This window comes from Homo sapiens, chromosome 1, assembly GCF_000001405.40.
Source record: "Homo sapiens chromosome 1, GRCh38.p14 Primary Assembly".
NCBI lineage: Eukaryota > Metazoa > Chordata > Mammalia > Primates > Hominidae > Homo > Homo sapiens.
Window position 1 is genome coordinate 205892858 of NC_000001.11, and position 25340 is coordinate 205918197.

Sequence of the window (25340 nt, forward strand, 5' to 3'; positions counted from 1 at the left end):
AGTTCTAGGCAGTTCTAGTTTAAATTTAAAAGGGGTACAAATACATACAAGAGTCATTGATTCAGATTACAATGGGGAAATTCAAATTGTTATATCTACTTCTGTTCCCTGGAAAGCAGAGCCAGGAGAGTGCATAGCACAGCTCCTGATTGTGTCATATGTGGGAATGGGAAAAAGTGAAATTAAATGAACAGGAGGATTTGGAAGCACAAATAAACAAGGCAAAGCAGCTTATTGGGTAAATCAAATTACTGATACACATCCTACCTGTGAAATAACTATTCAGGGAAATAAATTTAAAGGTTTGGTAGATACAGGAGTGGACATTTTCTCTACAGCACTGGCCGTCTGCATGGCCAATTCAACCCACTCAATTCAACTCCAATAGTTGGAGTTGGTAAAGTCCCTGAAGTATATCAAAGTAGCTATATTTTGCATTGTGAAGGGCCTGATGGACAACCTGGGACTATTCAACCAATTATAACTTCTGTACCCATAAATTTCTGAGGAAGGGATTTATTACAACAATGGGGAGTACAAGTTCTAATTCCAGAACAATTATATAGCCCTCAAAGTCAACATATGATGCATATAATGGGGTATGTTCCTGGTATTGGACTAGGAAAAAATTTGCGAGTTTTGAAAGAACCACTGCAAGTGGAAAGACAAAATTCCTGCCAAGGCTTAGGATATCATTTTTGATGGCAGCCATTGTTAAGCCTCCAGAACCTATACCTTTAAAATGGTTAACAGATAAGCCAATTTGGATAGAACAATGGCTGCTAAGTAAAGAGAAACTGGAGGCTTTAGAGAAATTAGTTCAATTAGAAAATGGGCACATAGCCCCAACATTTTCTGCTTGGGATTCTCCAGTTTTCATAATTAAGAAAAATTCAGGTAAATAGAAAATGTTAACTGACTTAAGAGCCATCAATTCAGTTATACAACCTATGGGAGCATTACAGCCAGGATTGCCTTCTCCTGCTATAATTCCAAAAAATTGGCCTTTAATAGTCATAGATTTGAAAGACTGTTTCTTTACTATCCCTTTGGCTGAGCAAGACTGTGAATGGTTTGCATTTACAATTCTTGCAGTAAACAACCTGCAGCCTGCTAAGCATTTTCATTGTTTTACAGATGGGTCTAGTAATGGTAAAACTTCTTATTCTGGCTCAAAAAGTAAAGTTTTCCAGATGCCCTATACTTCAGCTCAAAAAGTGGAGCTTGTAGCTGTAATTGAGGTATTGACTGCTTTTGATATGCCTGTTAATGTGATTTCTGATTCTTCATATATGGTTCTTTCCACACAGTTAATTGAAAATGCTCAGTTACGATTTCATACAGATGAACAACTGAAGACAAAAACAACAAAGGGGGAGAAAGAGGGATTATGGGACAGCCCATATACAATTGAATCTAGCATTATTAACTTTAAATTTTTTGAGTCTGCCTAAAGGCCAGATGTTATCAGCAGCTGAACAGCATTTACAGAAACCGGCTGCAAAGACAGAAGCAGAACAACTGGTTTGGTGGAGAGATCCGATAACAAAAAGTTGGGAAATAGGTAAAATAATAACTTGGGGTAGAGGTTATGTTTGTGTTTCTCCAGGCCAAAATCAATAACCAATTTGGATACCATCAAGACACCTGAAACCTTATCATGAGCCAGATGCTGAGGAAGAGATTCCAGGAGGATCCTGAGGACCCCCTGGTTGCAGCCACGTCGAGGCTGACACTGAGGAGGACCCCAACTGTCATGAGCAACACCCGTCGAACACAGCCATCCACCTGGGGACAAATCAAGAAGCTGTCACAGATGATGGAAGAAAACCTGAGGAAAGCGGGACAACCAATCACAATGAGTAATTTGGTGATCTATCACAGTGATGATCACCATTGCCATGAGTATTCCTTCAACAAGGGCTGACACAGAGAACAATTATACTTATTGGGCATATTTATCAATCTTGTCTGGCAATAATGCCTAGATGATTTCACTCTATGGCACAGTTACACATGCTTTCTGATCTCAGTATTTACCATAATAAATCTGCTCCTATAATTGAGGCATACCACCCTCAAAAACCTATTTGTAAACAAAATAGAACCTGGCCAGAAATAATGAACAACTTGTTTAGTAAGATTGCATTGCAGAACAGGCAGAGATGCTACGCAATGATTCCTATGGGATCATTGATTGGTCCCCTAAGGGGATGTTTAGCTTAAATTGCACCTCTCAGTCTGCATGCCATGGCCACACTAGTTCAGATGGTCTGAACAAAGTGGTCAGATGGCAGAAATGATAAGAAGTATGGCAAAAGTTCCTATTGTCTGGAACCATGGCAGTATAGTGTCACCTCAACCTCAAATGATATGGCTCATTGTAGGAGCTAAACATAAGGATTTGTGGAAACTATTAATAGCTCTTAATAAGATCAAAATTTGGGAAAGAATAAAAAAAGCATCTAGAAAGACACTCTACAAACTTGTCTTTGGATATTACAAAATTAAAAGAACAAATATTTAAAGCATCCCAGGTACACCTGACCTTAATGACAGAAACTGGAGTGCTTGAAGGAGCTGCAGACAGATTAGCAGCTAGTAACCCATTAAAATGGATAAAAACACTTGGAAGCTCTGTGATTTCAATGATGATTGTGCTTTTAATCGGTATTGTTTGTCTTTGTATAGTGTGCAGATGTGGATCCTGACTCCTGTGAGAAGTAGCTCACAGTGTCAAAGCTGCCTTTGCTTTTATCGATTTGCAAATCAAATAAGGGGGACATATTGGGAACAGCACCCCCCCCCCCAAAATCTGGCCATAAACTGGTCCCAAAACTGGCCATAAACAAAATCTCTGCAGCACTGACATGTTCATGATGGTCTTAATGCCCACGCTGGAAGGTTGTGGGTTTACCAGAATGAGAGCAAGGAACACCTGGCCCACCCAGGGTGGAAAACCACTTAAAGGCATTCTTAAACCACAAACAATAGCATGAGTGATCTGTGCCTTAAGGCTGTGCTACTGCTGCAGATAACTAGCCCAACCCATCCCTTTATTTCAGCCCATCCCTTCGTTTCCCATAAGGGATACTTTTAATTAATCTAATATGTATAGAAAGAATGCTAATGACTGGCTTGCTGTTAATAAATAACGTGGGTAAATCTCTGTTGGAGGCTCTCAGCTCTGAAGGCTGTGAGACCCCGGATTTCCCACTTCACACCTCTGTATTTCTGTGTGTCTGTCTTTAATTCCTTTAGCACCACTGGGTTAGGGTCTCCCCGACCGAGCTGGTCTTTGCACTTCTCACTTCTGGATATAGGCCTCCCTAGAGGGTTTTTTTTTTCTTTTTTGATAGGATCTTGCTCTTTCATCCAGGCTGGTGTGCTGTAGTGTATTCATGGCTTGCTGCAGTCTTGATCTCCCAGACTCAAGTAATCCTCCCATCTCAGCCTCCTGAATAGCTAGGACCACAGGCCTGTGCCACCATGTCTGGCTACTTTAATTTTTTTTCCCTTAGAGACAGAGTCTCACTATGTTGCCCAGGCTGGTCTCACATTCCTGCACTCGTCATCTTCCTGCCTTGGCCTTCCAAAGTGCTGAGATTACAGGCATGAAACACTACACCTGGCCATCCCTGGAGTATTTCTTCCTTCCTTCCTTCCTTGCTTCCTTCCTTCCTTTTTTCTTTTCCTCCCTCCCTCTCTCTTTCTTTCTTTGTTTCTTTTTCTCCCTTTCTTCCTTTCTTTCTTTCTTTTCTTTCTTTCTTCCTTCCTTTCTTTTTCTTTCTCTCTTTCTTTCTTCTTTCCTTCCTCCTTCCCTCCTTCCCTCCCCTCCCTCCCCCTCCCCTCCCTTCCTTCCTTCCTTCTTTCCTTCCTTCCTTCCTTTCTTCCTTCCTTCTTTCCTGTCTTATTTCAAAACACATGTCTTCCAGTTCAGAAATTATTTAATATGCTTGGTCTAGTGTATGACTAAATTTTTATTTAATTCATTAAATTCTTCAGCTCTGAGATTTCTGCTGTTTTTTTAATACTATCTTTTTTGTTGTTGTTGAATTTCTCATTCAAATTATGAAATGTTTTTCTGATTTTGTTGAATTGTCTATTTGTGTTCTTTTGTATCTCAATGAATTTTTTTTGTCACTGTTGTTTTTGAGACAGGGCCTCACCTTCTTGCCCAGGCTAGAGTTCAGTGGTGTGATTGTAGCCCACTATAACCTCAAACTCTTGGGCTCAAGCAATCCTCTTGCCTCAGCCTCCACAGTAGCTAGGAATATAGCTGTGTGTCACCATGCCCAGCTAATTATTTATTTATTTTTGTAGCGATATGGTCTTCCTGTGTTGCCCAGGCTGATCTCAAATCCCTGCCCTCAAGTCATCCTTCCATCCTGGCTTCTCAAAGTACTGGGATTAGAGGCATGAGCTACTGTGCCTGGCCTCATCAAGTTTCTTTAAGATTTTTATTTTTAATTGTTTTTCTTTCTGGCATTTCTTATATTTCCTATGATTACTGTTACTGGAGAATTACTGTTTTCTGTTGAAGGTGACATGTTTCCTTTCATTTTCATGGTTGATGTATTTCTACATTGGTTTCTACATATCTGGTGGAAAAGTCATCTTTTCTATTTTTATGGAATAGGTTTTCAGGAGAAAAGTTTATTTGTATGAATGAGTCTTGGGATGTCAGTACTGTGGGGTGCATTTGCCTTGGTTCTAGGTGGATGCAGTAGTGCAATCTCCATGTAGTTTCTTCAGCTATAGTCCACACTAGTGGTGTCTGCAAGTTTCCCAGTAGCCTAAGCTGAGAGAATTTGTGGTGATGATGGTGTGGCTTTGTGAGGGGTGAGCTCACCTGGCTGTTTCTGTTTCTCAGGTTGGAAGCATGTGTGTGTGCACAGTGGGTCAGCCAACATGGGGTCTGGCTCTCTGGGGTTGGAGCCTTCAGCCATCTGTGTACTGGAAGGGTGTAGTGGCTACTGGTCCCCAGAGAAGGGCACACTGCAGAAGTGGCTATGGTCTCAATATTGTACCATGCCACAGCAGCTTGGCTCACAGGGAGTGGGTGGAGTGTGGGGAGTGTATACTTTGTGCTCCTAATCTAGGGCAAGGCAGCTACGTGAATTCCTGGTAGCTCTCCAAACTGGGCCTAGGACTTGTGAGGACTGTGACATTCTCCTATAGTACGGACAGTAGGTATTTGTGGTGGCCATGTATCTAGTGGGAATCTTCTGCTTACCTATTCCTTGCAGTGGGAAATCCTTCCCATATCTGGGCTGATCTGATCCTGGTGAGGGAAATGGGGCTATAAAGGGCAGGTGCCTCCATGTTGCCCTCCTGTACTTCCAATCACCACATGTGCATCTCCACTTCCTCACTGTACTCCAGTGCTCTTCCTTCAACAATCTAGTCAAGTCTTAGCTATTTATTTATTGCCATGGTCCTTTCTTGTGGGGAAGACTAGCACCAGGCATCTCTAGTCAGCCATCTTGCTCAAAAGTTTTAAATTTTGATGAAGTCCAATTTGCCTATTTTTTTCTTTCGTTGCTCATGCTTTTGGAGTTATATCTAGGAATTCTTTGCCAAATTTAAGATCACGAAGATACCTCTGTGTTTTCTTCTAAAAGGTTAATAGCTTTTGCTTTCTTACTAAATTTTCATTGATTTTCTTGAATAGAAGTTTCTTCACTTGCTGTTTACCCTTAGGACCATTCCTAGAGGTTTTTTTGTGTGTGTGTGTGTGTGTGTGTGTGTGTGTGTGTGTGTGTGTGTTTTCTTTCCTTTTCTTTCCTTTTTTTGTTTCAGACAGAGTCTCACTTTGTTGCCCAGGCTGGAGTGCAATGGTGCAATCTTGGCTCACTGCAACTCTGCCTTCCAGGTTCAAGTGATTCTCCTGCCTCAGCCTCCTGAGTTGCTGGGATTACAGGCATGTGCCACCATGCCTGGCTAATTTTGTATTTTTAGTAGAGATGGGGTTTCTCCATGTTGGTCAGGCTGGTCTCGAACTCCTGACCTCAGGTGATCTGCCTGCTTCAGCCTCCCAAAATGTTGGGATTACAGGTGTGAGCCACTGCAGCCAGCCAATTTTTGTATTTTTAGTAGAGAAGAGGTTTCACCATGTTGCACAGGCTGGTCTCGAACTCCTGACCTCAAGTGATCCACCCCCTTCAGCCTCCCAAAGTGTGGGATTACAGGCACGAGCCACCACACCTGGCCTAAATGTGTGTGTGTGTTTTTTTTAATAATTTTCACCAGTTTCACTGGGGAGCTGGTCAGTGGAACTCCTCACATTGTCATGCCAGTTGTTGATCCCTGTCCATCCATTCTTGATAAAAATCTCAAAATAACAATATATATATTTTTCCCAATGCAAAACAAGAATCATGTTTAATCACAGAAAAACTAGATACATTTATAATAAAGTTGGAAACGGTATAAGAATGTCTACTGTCAACTCTTCCAAGATGGCCGAATAGGAACAGCTCCTGTCTGCAGCTCCCAGCGAGATCGACACAGAAGATGGGTGATTTCTGCATTTCCAACCTAGGTACCTGGTTCATCTCACTGGGACTGGTTGAACAGTGGGTGCAGCCCACAGAGGGAGAGCGAAGCAGGGCATGGTGTCACCTCACCCAGGAAGTGCAAGGGGTCAGGGGATTTCCCTTTCCTAATCAAGGGAAGCGGTGAGAGACTGTACCAGGAGGAACAGTACACTCTGCCCAAATACTGCACCTTTCCCATTGTCTTCACAACTGGCAGACCAGGAGATTCCCTCTGGTGCCTGGCTTGGCAGGTCCCATGACCACAGAGCCCAGCAATCTATGATCCATTGGCTTGATATTCTTGCTGCTAGCGCAGCGGTCTGGGATTGACCTGGGACACTGGAGCTTGGTGGGGGGAGGGGTGTCTGCCATTGCTGAGGCTTGAGTAGGCAGTTTTATGCTCACAGCATAAACAAAGCTGCCAGGAAGCTTGAACTGGGCAGAGCCCACCACAGCTCAGCAAGGCCAACTGCCTCTCTAGATTCCACCTCTGTGGGCAGGGCATATCGGAACAAAAGGCAGCAGCCCTAGTCAGGGACTTATAGTTAAAACCCTCATCCCCCTGGGACAGAGCACCTGGGGAAAGGGGCAGCTGTGGGCACAGCTTCTCCAGACTTCAATGTCCCTGCCTGACAGCTCTGAAGAGAGCAGTGGTTCTCCCAGCATGGCATTCAAGCTCTGGGACAGACTGCCTCCTCAAGTGGGTCCCTGACCGCTGTGTAGCCTGACTGGGAGACATCTCCCAGTAGGGGCCAACAGACACCTCATACAGGAGAGTTCTGGCTGGCATCTGGTGGGCGCCCCTCTGGGACGAAGCTTCCAGAGGAAGTATCAGGCAGCAATATTTGCTGTTTTGCAGCCTCCTCTGGTGATACCCAGAAAAACAGAGTCTGGAGTGGACCTCCAGCAAACTCCAACAGACCTTCAGCTGAGAGACCTGACTGTTAGAAGGAAAACTAACAAACAGAAAGGAATAGCATCAACATCAACAAAAAGGACATCCACACCAAAACCCCATCCGTAGGTCAGCAACATCAAAAACCAAAGGTAGATAAAACCACAAAGATGAGGGGAAACCGGAACAGAGAGGCTGAAAATTCCAAAAACCAGAACACCTCTTCTCCTCCAAAGGATTACAACTCCTTGCCAGCAAGGGAACAAAACTGGATGGAGAATGAGTTTGATGAGTTGATAGAAGTAGGCTTCAGAAAGTGGGTAATAACAAACTTCTCTGAGCTAAAGGAGCATGTTCCAACCCATCACAAGGAAGCTAAAAACCTTGAAAAAAGGTTAGAGGAATGGCTAACTAGAATAACCAGTGTAGAGAAGAGCATAAATGACCTGATGGAACTGAAAAACACAGCATGAGAACTTCATGAGGCATACACAAACTTCAATAGCTGATTTGATCAAGCGGAAGAAAGGGAAGAAAGTGACTGAAGATCAAATTAATGAAATAAAGTGGGAAGACAAGATTACAGAAAAAAGAATAAAAAGAAAGAAAGCCTCCAAGAAATATGGGACTATGTGAAAAGACCAAATCTACATTTGATTGGTGTACCTGAAAGTGATGGGGAGAATGGAACCAAGTGAGAAAACACTCTTCAGGATATTATCGAGGAGAACTTCCCCAACCTAGCAAGGCAGGCCAACATTCAAATTCAGGAAATATGAGAACATCACAAAGATATTCCTCGAGAAGAGCAACCCCAAGGCACATAATAGTCAGATTCACCAAGGTTGAAATGAAAGAAAAAATGTTAAGGGCTGCCAGAGAGAAAGGTTGGGTTACCCACGAAGGGGAGCCCATCAGACTAACAGCGGATCTCTCTGCAGAAACCTTTCAAGCCAGAAGACAGTGGGGGCCAATATTCAACGTTCTCATATGTAACTAATGTGCACGTTGTGCACATGTACCCTAAAACTTAAAGTTAAATAAAAAAAAAAAGAATTTTCAACCCAGAATTTCATATCCAGCCAAACTAAGCTTCATAAGTGAAGGAGAAATAAAATCCTTTAAAGACAAGCAAATGCTGAGAGCTTTTGTCACCACCAGGCCTGCCTTACAAGAGCTCTTGAAGGAAGCACTAAACATGGAAAGGAGCAACTGGTACCAGTCACTGCAAAAACATGCCAAATTGTAAAGACCATCAACGCTATGAAGAAACTGCATCAATTAACAGGCAAAATAACCAGCTAGCATCATAATGACAGGATCAAATTCACACATAACAATATTAACCTTAAATGTAAATGGGTTAAATGCCCCAATTAAAAGACACGGACTGGCAAATTGGATAAAGAGTCAAGACCCATTGATGTGCTATATTCAGGAGACTCATCTCATGTGCAAAGACACATGTAGGTTCAAAATAAAGGGATGGAGGAAGATCTGCCAAGCAAAAGAAAAGAAAAAATAAAAGCAGAAGTTGCAATCCTAGTCTCTGATAAAACAGACTTTACACCAACAAAGATCAAAAGAGACAAAGAGGACCATTACATAATGGTAAAGGGATCAATTCAACAAGAAGAGCTAACTATCCTAAATATATATGCACCCAATACAGAAGCACCCAGATTCATAAAGCAAGTTCTTAGAGACCTACAAAGAGACTTAGACTCCCACACAATAATAATGGAAGACTTTAACACTCCACTGTCAATATTAGACAGATCAACAAGACGGAAAATTAGCAAGGATATCCAGTACTTGAACTCAGCTCTGGACCAAGTAGACCTAATAGACATCTACAGAACTCTCCACCCCAAATCAACAGAATATACATTCTTCTCAGCATCACCTCACACTTATTCTAAAATTGACCACATAATTGGAAGTAAAACACTCATCAGCAAATGTAAAATAATAGAAATCACAACAAACTGTCTCTTAGACCACAGTGCAATCAAATTAGAACTCAGGATTAAGAAACTCACTCTAAACCACACAACTACATGGAAACTGAACAGCTTGCTCCTGAATGACTACTGGGTAAATAACGAAACGAAGGCAGAAATGAAGATGTTCTTTGAAATCAATGAGAACAAAGACACAATGTACCAGAATCTCTGGGACACATTTAAGGCAGCGTGTAGAGGGAAATTTATAGCACTAAATGCCCACAAGAGAAAGCAGGAAAGATCTAAAATTGACACCCTAGCATCACAATTAAAAGAACTGGAGAAGCAAGAGCAAACACATTCAAAAGCTAGCGGAAGACAAGAAATAACTAAGATCAGAGCAGAACTGAACGAGATAGAGACACAAAAATCCCTTCAAAAAATCAATGAATCCAGGAGCTGGTTTTTTGAAAAGGGAACAAAATAGATAGAATGCTAGCAAGACTAATAAAGAAGAAAAGAGAGAAGACTCAAATAGATGCAATAAAAAATGATAAAGGGGATATCACCACCAATCCCACAGAAATACAAACTACCATCAGAGAATACTATAAACATCTCTATGCAAATAAATTAGAAAATCTAGAAGAAATGGATAAATTCCTGGACACATACACCCTCCCAAGACTAAACCAGGAAGAAGTCGAATCTCTGAATAGACCAATAACAGGTTCTGAAATTGAGGCAATAATTAGCCTACCAACCAAAAAAAGTCCAGGACCAGATGGATTCACAGCTGAATTCTACCAGAGGTACAAAGAGGAGCTGGTACCATTCCTTCTGAAATTATTCCAATCAATAGAAAAAGAGGGAATCCTCCCTAACTCGTTTTATGAGGCCAGCATCATCCTGATACCAAAGCCTGGCAGAGACACAACAAAAAAAGAGAATTTTGGGTCAATATCCCTGATGAACATCAATGCAAAAATCCTCAATAAAATACTGGCAAACCGAATCCAGCAGCACTTCAAAAAGCTTATCCACCATGATCAAGTCAGCTTCATCCCTGGGATGCAAGACTGGTTCAACATACCCAAATCAATAAACGTAATCCATCACATAAACAGAACCAATGACAAAAACCACATGATTATCTCAATAGATGCAGGAAAGGCCTTTGACAAAATTCAACAGCCCTGCATGCTAAAAACTCTCAATAAACTAGGTATTGATGGATGTATCTCAAAATAATAAGAGCTATTTATGACAAACTCACAGTCAATATCATAGTGAATGGGCAAAAACTGGAAGCATTCCCTTTGAAAACTGGCACATGACAAGGATGCCCTCTCTCACCACTCCTATTCAACATAATGTTGGAAGTTCTGGCCAGGACAATCAGGCAGGAAAAAGAAATAAAAGGTATTCAATTAGGAAAAGAGGAAGTCAAATTGTCTCTCTTTGCAGACGACATGATTTTATATTTAGAAAACCACATTGTCTCAGCCCAAAATCTCCTTTAAGCTGATAAGCAACTTCAGCAAAGTCTCAGGATACAAAATCAATGTGCAAAAATCACAAGCATTCCTATACACCAATAGCAGACAAACAGCCAAATCATGAGTGAACTCCCATTCACAATTGCTACAAAGATAATAAAATACCTAGGAATCCAACTTACGAGGGATGTGAAGGAACTCTTCAAGGAGAACTACAAACCATTGCTCAATGAAATAAAAGAGGACACAAACAAGTGGAAGAACATTCCATGCTCATGGATAGGAAGAATCATTATTATGAAAATGGCCATACTGCCCAAAGTAATTTATAGATTCAGTGCTATCCCCATCAAGCTACCACTGACTATCTTCACAGAATTGGAAAAAACTACTTTAAAGTTCATATGGAGCCAAAAAAGGGCCTGCATAGCCAAAACAATCCTAAGCAAAAAGAACAAAGCTGGAGGCATCATGCTACCTGACTTCAAACTATACCTCAAGGCTGCAGTAACCAAAACTGCATGGTATTGGTACCAAAACAGATATATAGACCAATGGAACAGAACAGAGGCCTCAGAAACAACACCACACATCTACAACCATCTGATCTTTGACAAACCTGACAAAAGCAAGCACTGGGAAAGGATTCTCTATTTAATAAATGGTGCTGGGAAAACTGGCTAGCCATATGTAGAAAGCTGAAACTGGATCCCTTCCTTACACCTTACACAAAAATTAACTCAAGATGGGTTAAAGACTTAAATGTAAGACCTAAAACCATAAAAACCCTAGAAGAAAACCTAGGCAATACCATTCAGGATGTAGGCATGGACAAAGACTTCATGACTAAAACACCAAAAGCAATGGCAACAAAAGCCAAAATAGATAAATGGGATCTAATTAAACTAAGGGATTTTGCATGCAAAAGAAACTATCAGCAGAGCGAACAGGCAACCTACAGAATGGGAGAAAATTTTTGCAATCTATCCATCTGACAAAGGTCTAATATCCAGAATCTACAAAGAACTTAAACAAACAAACAACCCCATCAAAAAGTGGGCAAAGGATATGAACAGACACTTCTCAAAAGAAGACATTTATGCATCCAACAGACATATGAAAAAATGCTGCTCATCAGTGGTCATTAGAGAAATGCAAATCAAAACCACAATGAGATACCATCATGCCAGTTAGAATGGTGATCATTAAAAAGTCAGGAAACAACAGATGCTGGAAAGGATGTGGAGAAATAGAAAAGCTTTTACACTGTTGGTGGGAGTGTAAATTAGTTCAACCATTGTGGAATACAGTGTGGCGATTCCTCAAGGATGTAGAACTAGAAACATCATTTGACCCAGCAATCCCATTACTGGGTATATACCCAAAGGATTATAAATCATGCTGCTATAAAGACATATGCACATGCATGTTTATTGTGGCACTATTCACAATAGCAAAGACTTGGAACCAACCCAAACGTCCATAATAATATAGTGGATAAAGAAAATGTGGCACATATACACCATGGAATACTATGCAGCCATAAAAAAGGATGAGTTCATGTCCTTTGTAGGGATATGGATGAAGCTGGAAACCGTCATTCTCAGCAAACTATCACAAGGACAGAAAACCAAACACTGCATGTTCTCACTCATAAGTGGGAATTGAACAATGAGAACACATGGACACAGGGAGGGGAACATCACACACTGGGACCTGTCGGGGGGTGGGGGGTGGGGGAGGGATAGCATTAGGAGAACTACCTAATATAAATGACGAATTGATGGGGGCAGCCAACCAACATGGCACATGTATACCTATGTAACAACCCTGCACGTTGTGCACATGTACCCCAGAACTTAATGTATAGTAATAATAATAATAAAGAATGTCTACTGTCTTCACTATTATTTAACATTGTTTTGCAGATACTAGTCAAGGCAACTAGATAAGAGAAAAAATTATAGGTATAAAATTTGGAAAGGAGGTACAGTTATAATTATTTGCAGACAGAATGTATAGCTGAAAAAGCTGAAGCAATCAAAAGCAAAACTACTAACATTGTAAGAGAATTCAGTAAGTAATCTGGATGCACAATTAATATACAGAATTGATAGCCTTTATGTATGTAAACAACAACAACCAGTTAGAAAATACAATAAAAGAAATTCCATTTATAAAGGCAGTAAAAAACATTTAGGGTTAAACTTAAGACATGTGTAAGTGCTGGCTGGGCATGGTGGCTCACGCCTGTAATCCCAACACTTTGGGAGGCTGAGGCGGACAGATCACTTGAGGTCAGGAGTTCGAGACCAGCTTGCCCAACATAATGAAACCCCAGTCTCTACTAAAAATACAAAAATTAGCTGGGTATGGTGGTGCATGCCTGTAGTCCCAGCTACTCCGGAAGGCTGAGAGAGGAGAATCGCTTGAACCTGGGATATGGAGATTGCAGTGAGCCGAGATCACGCCACTGCACCCCAGCCTGGGCGACAGAGCGAGATTCTGTCTCCAAAAAAAAGAAGTGTGTAAGAGGTATATGGAAACACTTATGAAATTATCAAAAGAAGACTTAAACAAATGGGAAGAAATACCATATTCTTAAATTAAAAAAACCTACAGTGGTCCCCCACTTATCTGTGGGTAACATATTCCATCTACCCCCAATAGATGCCTGAAACCTTGTATAGTACAAAACCTTGTTTATAGTATTTTTTTGCTGCATATATGTGTGTGTGTGTATATATATATATATGTATATATATATATATATGTGTATATATATATATGTATATATACATATATATATATGTATATGTATATATATGTATATATATACACATACATATTTTTTTGAGACGGAGTCTCGCTCTGTCGCCCAGGCTGGAGTGCACTGGTGTGATCTCGGCTCACTGCAAGCTCCATCTCCCAGGTTCACGTCATTCTCCTGCCTCAGCCTCCCGAGTAGCTGGGACTACAGGCGCCTGCCACCATGCCTGGCTAATTTTTTTTTTTTGTATTTTTAGTAGAGATGGGTTTTCACCGTGTTAGCCAGCATGGTCTCGATCTCCGGATCTCGTGATCCGCCCGCCTCAGCCTCCCAAGGTGCTGGGATTACAGGCGTGAGCCACCGTGCCCGGCCTTTTTGCTGTATATATTATACATACCTATGATAAAGTTTAATTTACAAATTAGGCATAGTAATATATTAACGACTAATAATAAAATAGACCAATTATAACAATATACCAGCATCACAATGCTTGTACTTTGGGGTTGTTGTTATTATTATTATTATTGTTTGAGATGTAGTCTCCTTCTGTCACCAGGCTAGAGTGCAGTGGCACGATCTGGGCTCACCGCAACCTCCGCCTCCTGAGTTCAAGCAATTCTCCTGCCTCAGCCTCCTGAGTAGCTGGGACTACAGCCGTGCACCACCACGCCCAGCTAATTTTCGTATTTTTAGTAGAGACCAGGTTTCACCATGTTGGCCAGGATGGTCTTGATCTCTTGACCTTATGATCCGCCTGCCTCAGCCTCCCAAAGTGCTGGGATTACAGGCATGAGCCACTATGCCTGGCCTATTTTGGAGCTATTACTAAGTAAAATAGGGGTTACTTGAACACAAGCACTGTGATACCGTGACAGTTAATTTGATAACTGAGATGCTACTCAGTGACTAATGAGCACATAGTGTATAAGCATGGATATGCTGGACAAAGGGGTGATTCACATTCCAGGCAGAACATACACCAGGATGGTGCAAGATTTCATCATGCTACCCAAAACAGCATGCAATTTAAAACTTATGAATTGTGTATTTCTGAAATTTTCCATTTAATATTTTTCAGACCAGGGTTGACTGCGGGTAACTGAAACTGTGGAAAGTGAAACCCACAGTTTCAGTTATCCGCAGTAAGGACTGACCTTCCTCTATATCTTGTAGGGTCCATCCTCACCTAGAACATAAAGATGTACTTGGGGGCTATTATAGATGTACTTTGGGGCTAACATAAAGATGTTTTAGGCTTATAGCTTTTGCTTTCTTATTAAATTTTCATAGGTTTTCTTGAATAGATGTGTCTTCATTTGCTGTTTGCCCTTGGGACTATTTCTCGAGGCTTTATTTTATTTTATTTTATTTTAGTAATTTTCACCAGTTTCACAGGGGAGCTGGTCAGTGGAACTCCTCACATTGTCATGCCACTTCTGCAGTGTGCCCTCCTCTGGGGGCCAGTAGCCACTACACCTTTCCAGAACTCAGATGTTGGGATGACAACATCAAGGGAAACCAAGGATGTTGGGAATTCCAAGATCAAGGTGCTGGCAGATTTGATGTTGGTGAGAGTCCTCTTCCTCTTCCATAGATAGCTGTCATTTCACTGTAACCTCACACGGCAGAGGGTGAGATATCTCTGGGTCTCTTTTATAAGGGCACTAATCCCATTCATGAGGACTCTACCCTCATGACCTAATCACTTCCCAAAAGCCCTTAATACCATCACCTTGGGGGTTAGGATTTCAACATATGAATTTTGGGGCAAAACACACAGTCTCTAGCAACTAGAAAGCCTTTCTAATTCTCTCTCTCTCTCATCATCGTTGGTATGAGCTCAATTCTTGTTTTTAATGGTTTAAAATTCATCCTTGTATTTAATTATTTTGGTGCTTAAATTGCACGTAGAGACCACTTTGATCTGGTTCCTGTGACCTTGTAACATACTCCCATCAATTTTTTGGAACAATTCCTTGCTTTCTGGTATAAAAATATGTTCCAGACTTATCTTGTATCCAATCCTATCCCCGCCTTGGAATCAACCATTTCTTTTAAGAAGTTCTGTCTCCTTTTAGAAAGGAATGGTGTTAGAAGCTGAAATCTGGGTACTAGATTTGTTCCTTTTTACTGGGTGTCATTACTTCTTGGAACTTTCAGCAGTCAGCACTAGGAAATATATCCATGTACACACCATTGTTCTGGAGGCTGGGAAGTCCAGGATCAAGTTGCTGGCAGATTCGATGTCTAGTTAGGGCCCTCTTCATGCATTGCTTAACAATGGAGACACATTCTGAGAAAAGTCTCTTTAGGTGATTTTGTCATTGTGTGAACCTCATAGAGTGTACTTACACAAACCTAGATGGTATAGCCTACTATACACCTTGACTACATGGTATAGCCTACTATACACCTTGACTACATGGTATAGCCTATTGCTCCAAGGCTAGAAGCCTGTACAGCATGTTACTGTACTGCATACTATAATACAATGCTAAGTATTTGTGTATCTAAACACAGCAAAAAGTACAATAAAAATACAGAACTATAACCTTATGGGATCCCATTGTATATGCGATTGTCATTGACTGAAACATTGTTATGTGGCCCAGGGCTACATACCCGTACATACAAATGTACATACACACATATATACATATTCATACATATACATGTGCACATAAACAGGCACACAAACATACATATACAATTTTGAGGAAATTGTAGAAAAAGGTGAGAAGCGAGTGTTCTTAGTTATAGTAGGATGCCTATTAGGACTAGTAAATGTAGAGGGTGTGCTGGGATTGGAGAATCATCATTTTGCAATCATCGTAGTATTGATAGGATCAGACAAGAATTGTCAATGGATACTTAACCTAGGGGAAATTTTAATGAGCAGCAGAATATTTGCATGGTCTTAAAGTGTGTCCTCACAAACTATAAGTTGCAAGGGAGAAAAAAAAAACAACCCCAGTAATCATATAGTGGAGAAATCAGGCAATACCCCCAACTGAGTAATCAAAATTAATTTCACCTATGAGAGACTGGTGGCCATTATGTGCTTCCAGATGTGTTAGGCAGAAAAAGACAGAGCATTTCCTATGGAGTATTCTGGGAGAAAATGCAAAACCTCAGTATAATCATAAGGAAATATCAGACAAATGCAAAATGAGGAATACAAAGAAAGGGTGGGTGAACCACAATCTTAGAAAAATGTCAATGCTGTAAAAGACAAAGACGAGTTGTAGACACGTTCCAGATAACAGGACACTAAAACACATGCAACTAAATTCAGTACCTGGCCGGGCATGGTGGCTCATGCCTGTAATCCCAGCACTTTGGGAGGCCGAGGCAAGAGGATTGCTTGAGCTGAGGAGTTTGAGACCAGCTTGGGGAACATGGAGAAATCCTATCTCTACAAAAAATACCAAAAATTAGCCAGGAGTAGTGGTGTGCACCTATGGTCCAAGCTACCTGGGAGGGTGAGGTGGGAGGATCACCTGGCCCCAGAGGTTGAGGCTACATTGAGCTGTGATAGCTCCACTGCGCTCCAGCCTGGGCGATGGAGTGAGACCCCGTCTCAATAAATAAATGAAAAAAAGAAAATAAATTCAATACCTGACTTTAGATTAAATCCTGTGCTGGAGAGGAAAAAATGCTTCATTAGATAAACTGACAAAATTGGTATATGAATGGTAGATTAGATAAAAGTATTGGATCAATGTAAATGCATTAAGTTGATAACTGTACTGTGATTATGTAAGACACTATCTCTCAGGAAATACACACTGAAGTATTTAAAGTTAAAGGACTTCATCCTCAAATGCCTCAGAAAAAAGTTATGCATGTCCACAGAGAGAAAGAAAAGAGACATAAGCCAGTGGTGGTGGCTCATGCCTGTAATCCCAGCACTTTAGGAGGCCGAGGCGGGCAGATCACCAGAGGTCAGGAGTTCGAGACCAGCCTGGCCAACATGGTGAAGCCCTGTCTCTACTAAAAATACAAAAAAATTAGCCAGGCCTGGTGGCAGGTGCCTGTAATCCCAGCTATTCAGGAGGCTGAGGCAGGGAGAATCGCTTGAACCCAGGAGGCAGAGGTTGCAGTGAGCTGAGGTCACACCATTGCACTCCAGCCTGGGCGACAAGAGTGAGACTGTCTAAAAAAAGAAAAAGAAAAGAGAGACAATGAAAGAGTAAATGATAAAGCAAATGGGGTAAAATGTTAACCATAAGTGAACCAGATTAAAGAGCATACAGTGTTTATTATGTGATTTTTTTTTTCTTTTTGAAAACAGGGTCTTGCTCTGTTGCCCAGGCTGGAGTGCAGCGATGCGATCATAGCTCATTGTAATCTCAAATCCCTGGACTCAAGTGATCCTCTTGTCTCAGCCTTCCTGGTAGCTAGGACTATAGGCATGTGCCATCGTGCACAGCTAATTTTTAAAAATTTTAAATTGTCTTTGTAGAAATGGGGGGTAAGGGTGGGGATCTCCTTTTGTTGCTCAGGCTAGTCTCAAACTCCTGGCCTCAAATGATCTTCCTGCCTTGGTCTCCCAAAGTGCTGGTATTACAGGTGTGAGTCACTGCATCCAGCCTCCTGTGATACTTTTAGTTTTGCAACTTTTTATTCGTTTGAAATTATTTCCAAGTAAAAAGTTTGTTTAAAAAAACCTCTTATTTAAACAAAAATCTTTGTTGAAGGAAAAGTGTTTACTTCCAGCTCTGGAAGTAAGAAGTAACTCGCATAATTCTAAAGAATCTGCTTTCATGTTATGCAATTTAGAGACAGAAGGTCTTAGTGTCATCCTGTTTGATCTACCATCTAGAGCAGGAGCTCCTCTGACAACATCCCTGGCAGGTGGTTAGCTTACCTCTTCTTGGGCATGTTCAGGGATTCACAGTCTTAAAATTACCCCATTCCAGTCTAGAATGGTGAGATGGCTGTCTTACAAATGCTTCTATACTACCTCAATATACGACTAATGCCATGTTGTAGTTAGACAACTACATAGGTTACAGTGGGTTTGGAAGATGAAAGGCTAAAGAAATGTACCCAATTCAGATGCTACTTATGTGCCACTCAAAACCCTCCTACTAAGCCTCTGTTGGAATAATGGTTCTGGGTGGTCTTATCTGCCAGCCCCTCCCAGGAGCCATGCCATACCTCTTCCTTCTTGCAGGTGCGTCATTGATGCCCTAGCATGGGTCACCTTGGGAACTGCTCTGCACGCATATCCATGCATCCTACATTTGTTGAAGAGTTAATACCCATAGGGCCATCCTTGATCAATGGACTATGGGTGTGATGGTTAAATGTTTCTCTAGGACAGTTTGCAGATGCTTCTCACAGGGCTCCTGGGAAGGACTGGCGGGGTAGAGCCCCACTTGCCTTTCACAGTGGCTCTTTCTTGTGTTGGCTTTCTCTGCCTCCCTGTTTTCACTCTTGCCCATCACTCCTCTCCCTGAAATCATTGCCTGAATAGCCCATGCAGACTTTTGTCTCAGGTTCTGCATCCAGGGGGAATCAGGCTAAGATAGCATCATTAGAAAAAAAGTCTAAAACTCCTATGAGAGGGATGCTAATTGCTTATTTACCCAAATCCCACAGCTCAGCTGAATAGCAGGTAAAGCAAGATTAGTTTATCTTAAATAAATATCATTTTGGGACTCATTGACTTCTCTGCCTCTGCAACGTATCCTCTTCCTTCAACTGTTTCTCCTTCTTCTAGTTCTCCCCATCTTTTTTTTTTTTTTTTTTTTTTTTAAGAGATGGGGTCGCACTATGGGTTGGCCAGACTGGTGTTGAACTCCTGGCTTCAAGCAATCCTTTAAATCTCCAGAGTTTTGGGATTACAGGTGTGAGCCACTGTGCCTGGCCCTGTGTATCTCCATACCAATGACCATTCATCTCCCTTCCCTCTTTGTTTTGTCTAATCTCTGGTCCTTCATCTCTTTCCACTTCATCCTCTTTCTGTCTCCTTTATGCCTTTGCTTTTTGTTTTTCGTGATTCCTCTTATCTTCTTCCCTTTCTGATTGCTGGTAAACACAGTTGACAGTCAACCTAGCTTGTATGACACTTGAATCCCATGGCTTTGCTCTCCTTGCATTGTCTCACAAACAGGGGAGCGAAAGGTGGGATTAGATTGTGTGCTGCCCCACACTAAGGATTCTGAAGGGTTTGCTAAGTAACGATGGGATCCCATGAATGTGAAAGAATTAGTGAGTGAAAGGTATGCAGAGGGATGATGGGGCTTTGACATCCCCTATAGCCACAAAAATCCAGAGTTGGCTCTAGATACTCGTCCTGGGTGTGTGGACCCCTCAGCCCAATCTTCTCTCCCCAGTTTCTGTTCTTTAGCTGGATTGTGGAAGTTTATGCATTCCCAGGATGGAAAATCGAACCTGGAGAGGAGCTGGGAGACCTACAGAGAAATCTGAGTCCTCGTTGCTTCCCCCGCCCGGGATAATGCAAAGCAAGGCCAGGTCTCTGTGGAGGTGACTTGTTTTGCTTTTCTATAAAACCACCCAAACATGTGCATTTGTTCACAATTCAAATCCAGTTTATTACCAAAATGAACAAAAGGAGAATGAGGCTTAAATTAAATAAATTATGCAAATATCTCAAGAGATAAGGTTCCCAGTCCTCCCTGGGAATTATATTATCACAGGTCAGTATCACTAAGAACATTCAAAAGCATTGAAATTCTGGATTATTTCACTACTTTGCCTCCATCTTTCCTGCTTCAACCAGGTCCAGAAGAGTGTTCTTTTCCAAATATTCCAGCAGAGATGTTTTCTTCAATGTCTTCCCTCTGCCTCATGTGTTTCCAATCTTACCTCCACAGCGGGCTCTGCAACCCTCAGACATGTGGCAGATCTCTCCCTGAGCCTCAACTCCAGGTCACTGGGTCAACAATCTCCTTCAGTTCTGAGGCTGGTCTGGGGGTTAATGATTACTTGGGGGTTAAGGATCACTTCATCAAGTCCTCAGGGGATCTAGATACTTGGTTCAAAGGGGACTCTGACTTGGAAATTCCTGAGGCTCTGTGACCTTCTCCCACCTCCTGGGCCTGAGCTGGACTTGGAAGGAGGTGGAGTAGGGGAGAGTGAGTTGTCATTGGCTAAGGCTCTTGTCCTCCTGGAATTTGGCACTTCGGGTGCTGGGCACGGTGAATCCCAGATAACATTGTCCTTCGCCTTCCAAGTTTTGAGTTCCATTGGCAGCCAGATGGCATAATGAATTCACAGAAAAGCAATGCTCCTGGGCCAAGAATGTGTTGGCTCTTGGCCAGCACCCCCTCCTTTAACTCTAAGAAGACTTGTTAGCTGACCAGCTCACTCAACACACAGACACACAACGCAGGTCTGGCTGAAGTTAGAAATGGGGATGTTTTCCTAGGCTGGGCCAGCCCAACCTGTTAGGGAAGGGGTTGTTAAGCTGAAGAAGCTTGAGAAAAGCAGTGATGAGAGGCCAGAAGATTTTCTGTGCATTTCCACTGAAATTTTACAAAACACTTACACATGGAACCTATTTATTTTCAAGTCAACAGTAGGGTTCCTCTCAATACCTCCTTGTACATATGGAAAACTTAACCCCTATTTTCATCTTCATAGGAGAAGATGGCCTGAGGTCCTAAGGGTGTTAAAGAGTCTTCCTGTGCAGGAAGACCCAATCTGGATCAGCCCCTTTCCACATCTGCATGCAGTTAGGGGATGTAGCGGATCCCTGGAGGACTTCCACCTTTGCCTACAGAAGGACCCCATTGTGTCTCTGGGCCACAGGCTGATAAGGAAGAGTTAACATGATTGGCTCTTTGCCAGGTAAAGAAGGATAAGGCAGATTTACCAAAGGGAGGCATTTCCCTGATGGGCCCTGGGGTCAAGGGGGACTGTCTGGGCCCAGGTCCCATCCGTTTTCCCTGTGTTGGTACTAGCACCCTCTTCCCCTCTGAGTCTCTGGGTGCAAAGAGGAATTCCCAAAAGTTTTGTGCAGAATAACTGGTATCTATTACTAGGATGCCAGATGATTCTGCCAGCTACCCATCCCCCTCTTTGGGGTTTCTAGCCAGCCTCCAGGGGAAGGGAGCAGCCTCTGAGGGCAGTGATGTTTCAGGAGGCTGAGGCAGAACCTTAGTGGGCTGTCCCCGGGGAGGTAGCTCTGGTGGTCTCGACGGTCCTGGCCACTGTCCAGGCTAGAGTCTGATGTGCTTGCTGACAGCAGTGGTGGTTTGGGCAGCCTTGGGGATGATGGAGGGGGGGCGCATAGTTACCAAGGCCTAGACTCCTGGGTGTGGAGAGCACATGGTCCCTGGGTGCAGAGCTGCCAGAGACAGAGTTGAGGCAGCTGGGGAAGGCAAGCCAGAGTCCTAACCAAGTTTATCCCTATGTCCGTGACAGCCTGACACCATCTGACACCGAGCCGTGTGGGCTCTGGGACACTTTTTGAAGCTTGTACAGCAGGCCAGCACAGTTGTACTTGTCCTTCTGTTTTTGGCTCACTCGTAAAAGCTGGAAGTCAAGGTGTCCTTCAGCTGCCAAGGACAGGGCAGAGGTGGGTGGGGTGGAGTGAGCAGGAGGCTTGTCCATTGCGGCCAGGGCCTGACGGGTGAAGAGTGGGCTCACCAGACTCTCACTCCTGTAAGGGTAGCACCCCCCTGCTGCTGAGAGGCTCTCTCTGGAGATGCGGGGAGGGAAGGAAGGGAGGAGAGAGGGGGAGAGGAGAGAGGAACCCAAGCTCTGGGGGATGCACTTTCCTCCGCCCGACACCCCCTGTGACCCCAGGCTCATCCTTTATGGAAGTCCCAAGTGCCAGGCACTCTGTAGGCAGCATGAGGACTGGCTGAGCCCTCACAGGGCGGTCAGGGTCTCTGCGTGAAACATGCTCCCGAACATCTCCTGCAGGAACCACAGGAAGGAAGTGGGAGGGGAAGAGAGAGGTTAGACCAGTTGGGGTCACAGTGGCTGCAACCAAGAGGTGACCCTAGGAACCCCTGGCCAGAACAAAGCACCTGTGTGTGTGTGTGTGTGTGTGTGTGTGTGCGAGAGTGTGTGTGAACAGGGGAGAGGCAGGGTCAGCCTAGGAGGTGAACCAGTCCAGCGTGGCAGGAGCAGGTGCTGAAATCTACATGTGAATCACCTCCTGTGTGCTGTGTGACCTTCCACGTGTCCCTCGCCCCCTAATAGCTTCACTTTCCTCATTGGGTAAAATGAGGGTTGGCAGTAGACAAGCTCTGAAGTCCTTTCTCACGTTGATAAGCTATTTTGGTCCTATCCAGGCTTTTTGGAATGTGCTGGAGATTCCAAGAGGGCACCGAAATCAGTCTGCCAAATCTCTGTGGCTCCAGCTCTATTTTCTAATCTGTCCCACCTGCCATCAGCACTGTGAGAGACGGATTCAGAGCACCATGGAGCTCAATGTCAAAAAGAATGGGAAGAGGCACAAAGAGAGACACTACTTCTCATAGACCCAAAGCCAGATTTCTCCAAACCTAGTCATCTGGTTTCTTTTAATTCAGGGCATTGGTGGGGTGGTGTTAATCCAGGGGCCCTATGGGGATGGTGATCCCTCATATCCACATATCTTTTAGGTTTTGTTTTGTTTGTTTTTGAGACAGTCTAGCTCTGTCACCCAAGCTGGAGTGCAGTGGCACGATCTCGGCTCACTGCAACATCTGCCTCCCAGGTTCAAGTGATTCTCATGCCTCAGACTTCCGAGTAGCTGGGACTACAGGCATGCACCACTACGCCTGGCTAATTTTTGTGCTTTTAGTAGAGACGGGGTTTCGCCATGTTGGCCAGGCTGGTCTCAAACTCCTGACCTCAGGTGGTCCGCCCACCTCAGCCTCCCAAAGTGCTGGGATTACAGGTGTGAACCATTGCACCCAGCCACATATTTTTTAGTTCTTAAGGCTTGTCCACATGCAATAATAATTCATTTGTAGACCCAGAATCCATCTATTCTACCATAACGTAAGTTTCTAAAAGGCAGAGGCCTTTGTTTTGCTCACTGCTATGTGCCCATCCTGAACTGTGTCAGGCAAACAGTAGGTACGCCATAAATACCTGCTGAATTAATGAAAGAACAAGTGACTGCCCTGCCAATCTTGTGTGGTGGATGGGACAGGTATTACCTATGTTTCCCCTAATTTCACAGATGATAAAAACTAGGGCCCAGGGTGTATGTGGCTTGCTCAGGGTCACGTGGGTGATGTGTTGGAGAATAAGAATAGATACTGGTTCTCTAGGACTTGGTCCAGTGACTCACCCTCTCCCCACGATAACTTTCAGGGAGTGAGAAGAATGAAAACAAAGGCCAGGCATCGTGGCTTATGCCTGTAATCCAGGCACTTAGGAGACCGAGGCAGGCAGATTGCTTGAGATCGGAAGTTCGAGACCAGCCCAGCCAACATGGTGAAAAGCTGTCTCTACTAAAAATACAAAAATTAGCTGGGCGCAGGCCTGAAGTCCCAGCTACTCGGGAGGCTGAGGCAGGAGAACCTCTGGAACCCGGGAGGCAGAGGTTGCAGTGAGCTGAGATCATGCCACTGCATTCCAGTCTGGGTGATAGAGTGAGACTTTGTCTCAAATTAAAAAAAAAAAAAAAAGAAAAGGAAAAGAAAAAAAACAAAGATGACCACAAATCTTTGTGGCCTTGAATGTGACTGCTCTGGGCTGGAGGTGAGACAGCTGAGTGAACGCCTTGTATTTGACAGCGACCCCATCCTTCCCCTCTTCGCCCTGCTCCCACCCTCACAGCCCCTTCCCTCAGCTCACCTGCTCTAAGTCCCAGTAGCTGCGAATGTCCTCCTCTGAGTCGTACAAGGAGAGCTCAGCATCCCCTGGAGCCTGGAAGGGAGGAAGCCAGTGCAGAATGAGCTTCAGTGACTGAACAGCAAAGTTGGTGCATGGTGGCAGGAAAAGGGACAGGTGGCCGGCTCTGGTTGGACGCTGCTTCCTGACACATGACTTATCCTCTTGCCCCTTCCCTTACCTGCCTCACAAAAACAGCACGGCTGTGGTCTTCCCCCTTATACCAGACAGGTGTGTATCGCGGTCTTCCCTCCTTTGTGGGCCGTTAGAGGCAGGGAAGGTTTTACTCAGCTTAGAAAAACTATTGGCTAGCTGCCTGACCTTGGGGAATTCCTGTCCTCCTGGGAATATATTTTCTAATCTGTTCAAGTCTGATAACCAGCCTCACTTTGCCTGCTTTGTCCCTCACAATGCTGTTGAAAAGGTGTGTGTTTATGTGTGTGATTTGTATCTGTGAATGGTCTATAATATGTAAGTATATATTATATAAAATATAAATTATTTATAAGTCTATGACTAATCAAGTATACATACCAACTAGAGTAGCTGAACATGATTAGGGCACTAACAACTAATGCAGCTTCCTCCAGAATCTCCCTCTTTGCTCTGCGGACAAATTCACGAAGCAGGAAAGCCCGTTGTTTCCCCAGGGTTTCCCTCTAGGCATGGAGGGCAGGAGCCAGCGCCCTGTGTGTTCCTGGGCAGTCTTTCAGCACTTAGAACAGATGGTTTCACCTTCATCAGTCTCTTAAGGCAAAGAGCAAATCATTGCTCTAGGGCCAGAAAAGCCTTTCTTATGACCCACAGAGGGCAGGGGAGGTTTTTACCCAGGGCTGGGGCACAACAAGAGTCTTGGGAGGCCAAGGGCAGGAGCTGAGC

The 25340-nt window shown here is 43.3% G+C and overlaps 1 protein-coding gene and 1 long non-coding RNA gene across 6 annotated transcripts in view; one reads left to right on the forward strand and one right to left on the reverse strand.

Annotated features, from left to right (window-relative positions):
- PM20D1-AS1 (PM20D1 antisense RNA 1) overlaps positions 1 to 3230 on the forward strand; it is a 34009-nt gene extending 30779 nt beyond the window's left edge. The window contains exon 3 of one of the 2 annotated variants that reach the window (NR_046097.1): positions 1311 to 3230. This is a non-coding gene — a long non-coding RNA (PM20D1 antisense RNA 1). The remainder of the gene's footprint in view (positions 1 to 1310) is intronic. The other variant, NR_046098.1, reaches the window with a different exon arrangement.
- A 16964-nt stretch (positions 3231 to 20194) lies between these two features.
- The window catches only part of SLC26A9 (solute carrier family 26 member 9), a 30405-nt gene continuing 25259 nt past the window's right edge, over positions 20195 to 25340 (reverse strand). For 3 of the 4 annotated variants that reach the window (XM_011509121.3, NM_052934.4, XM_011509122.3), the window contains 2 exons: positions 24426 to 24497; positions 20195 to 22547 (listed from right to left, as the gene is read on the reverse strand). In XM_011509121.3, coding sequence (XP_011507423.1) covers positions 22500 to 22547; positions 24426 to 24497 — 120 coding nt within the window. In that variant the 3' untranslated portion in view covers positions 20195 to 22499. The remainder of the gene's footprint in view (positions 22548 to 24425; positions 24498 to 25340) is intronic. The other variant, NM_134325.3, reaches the window with a different exon arrangement.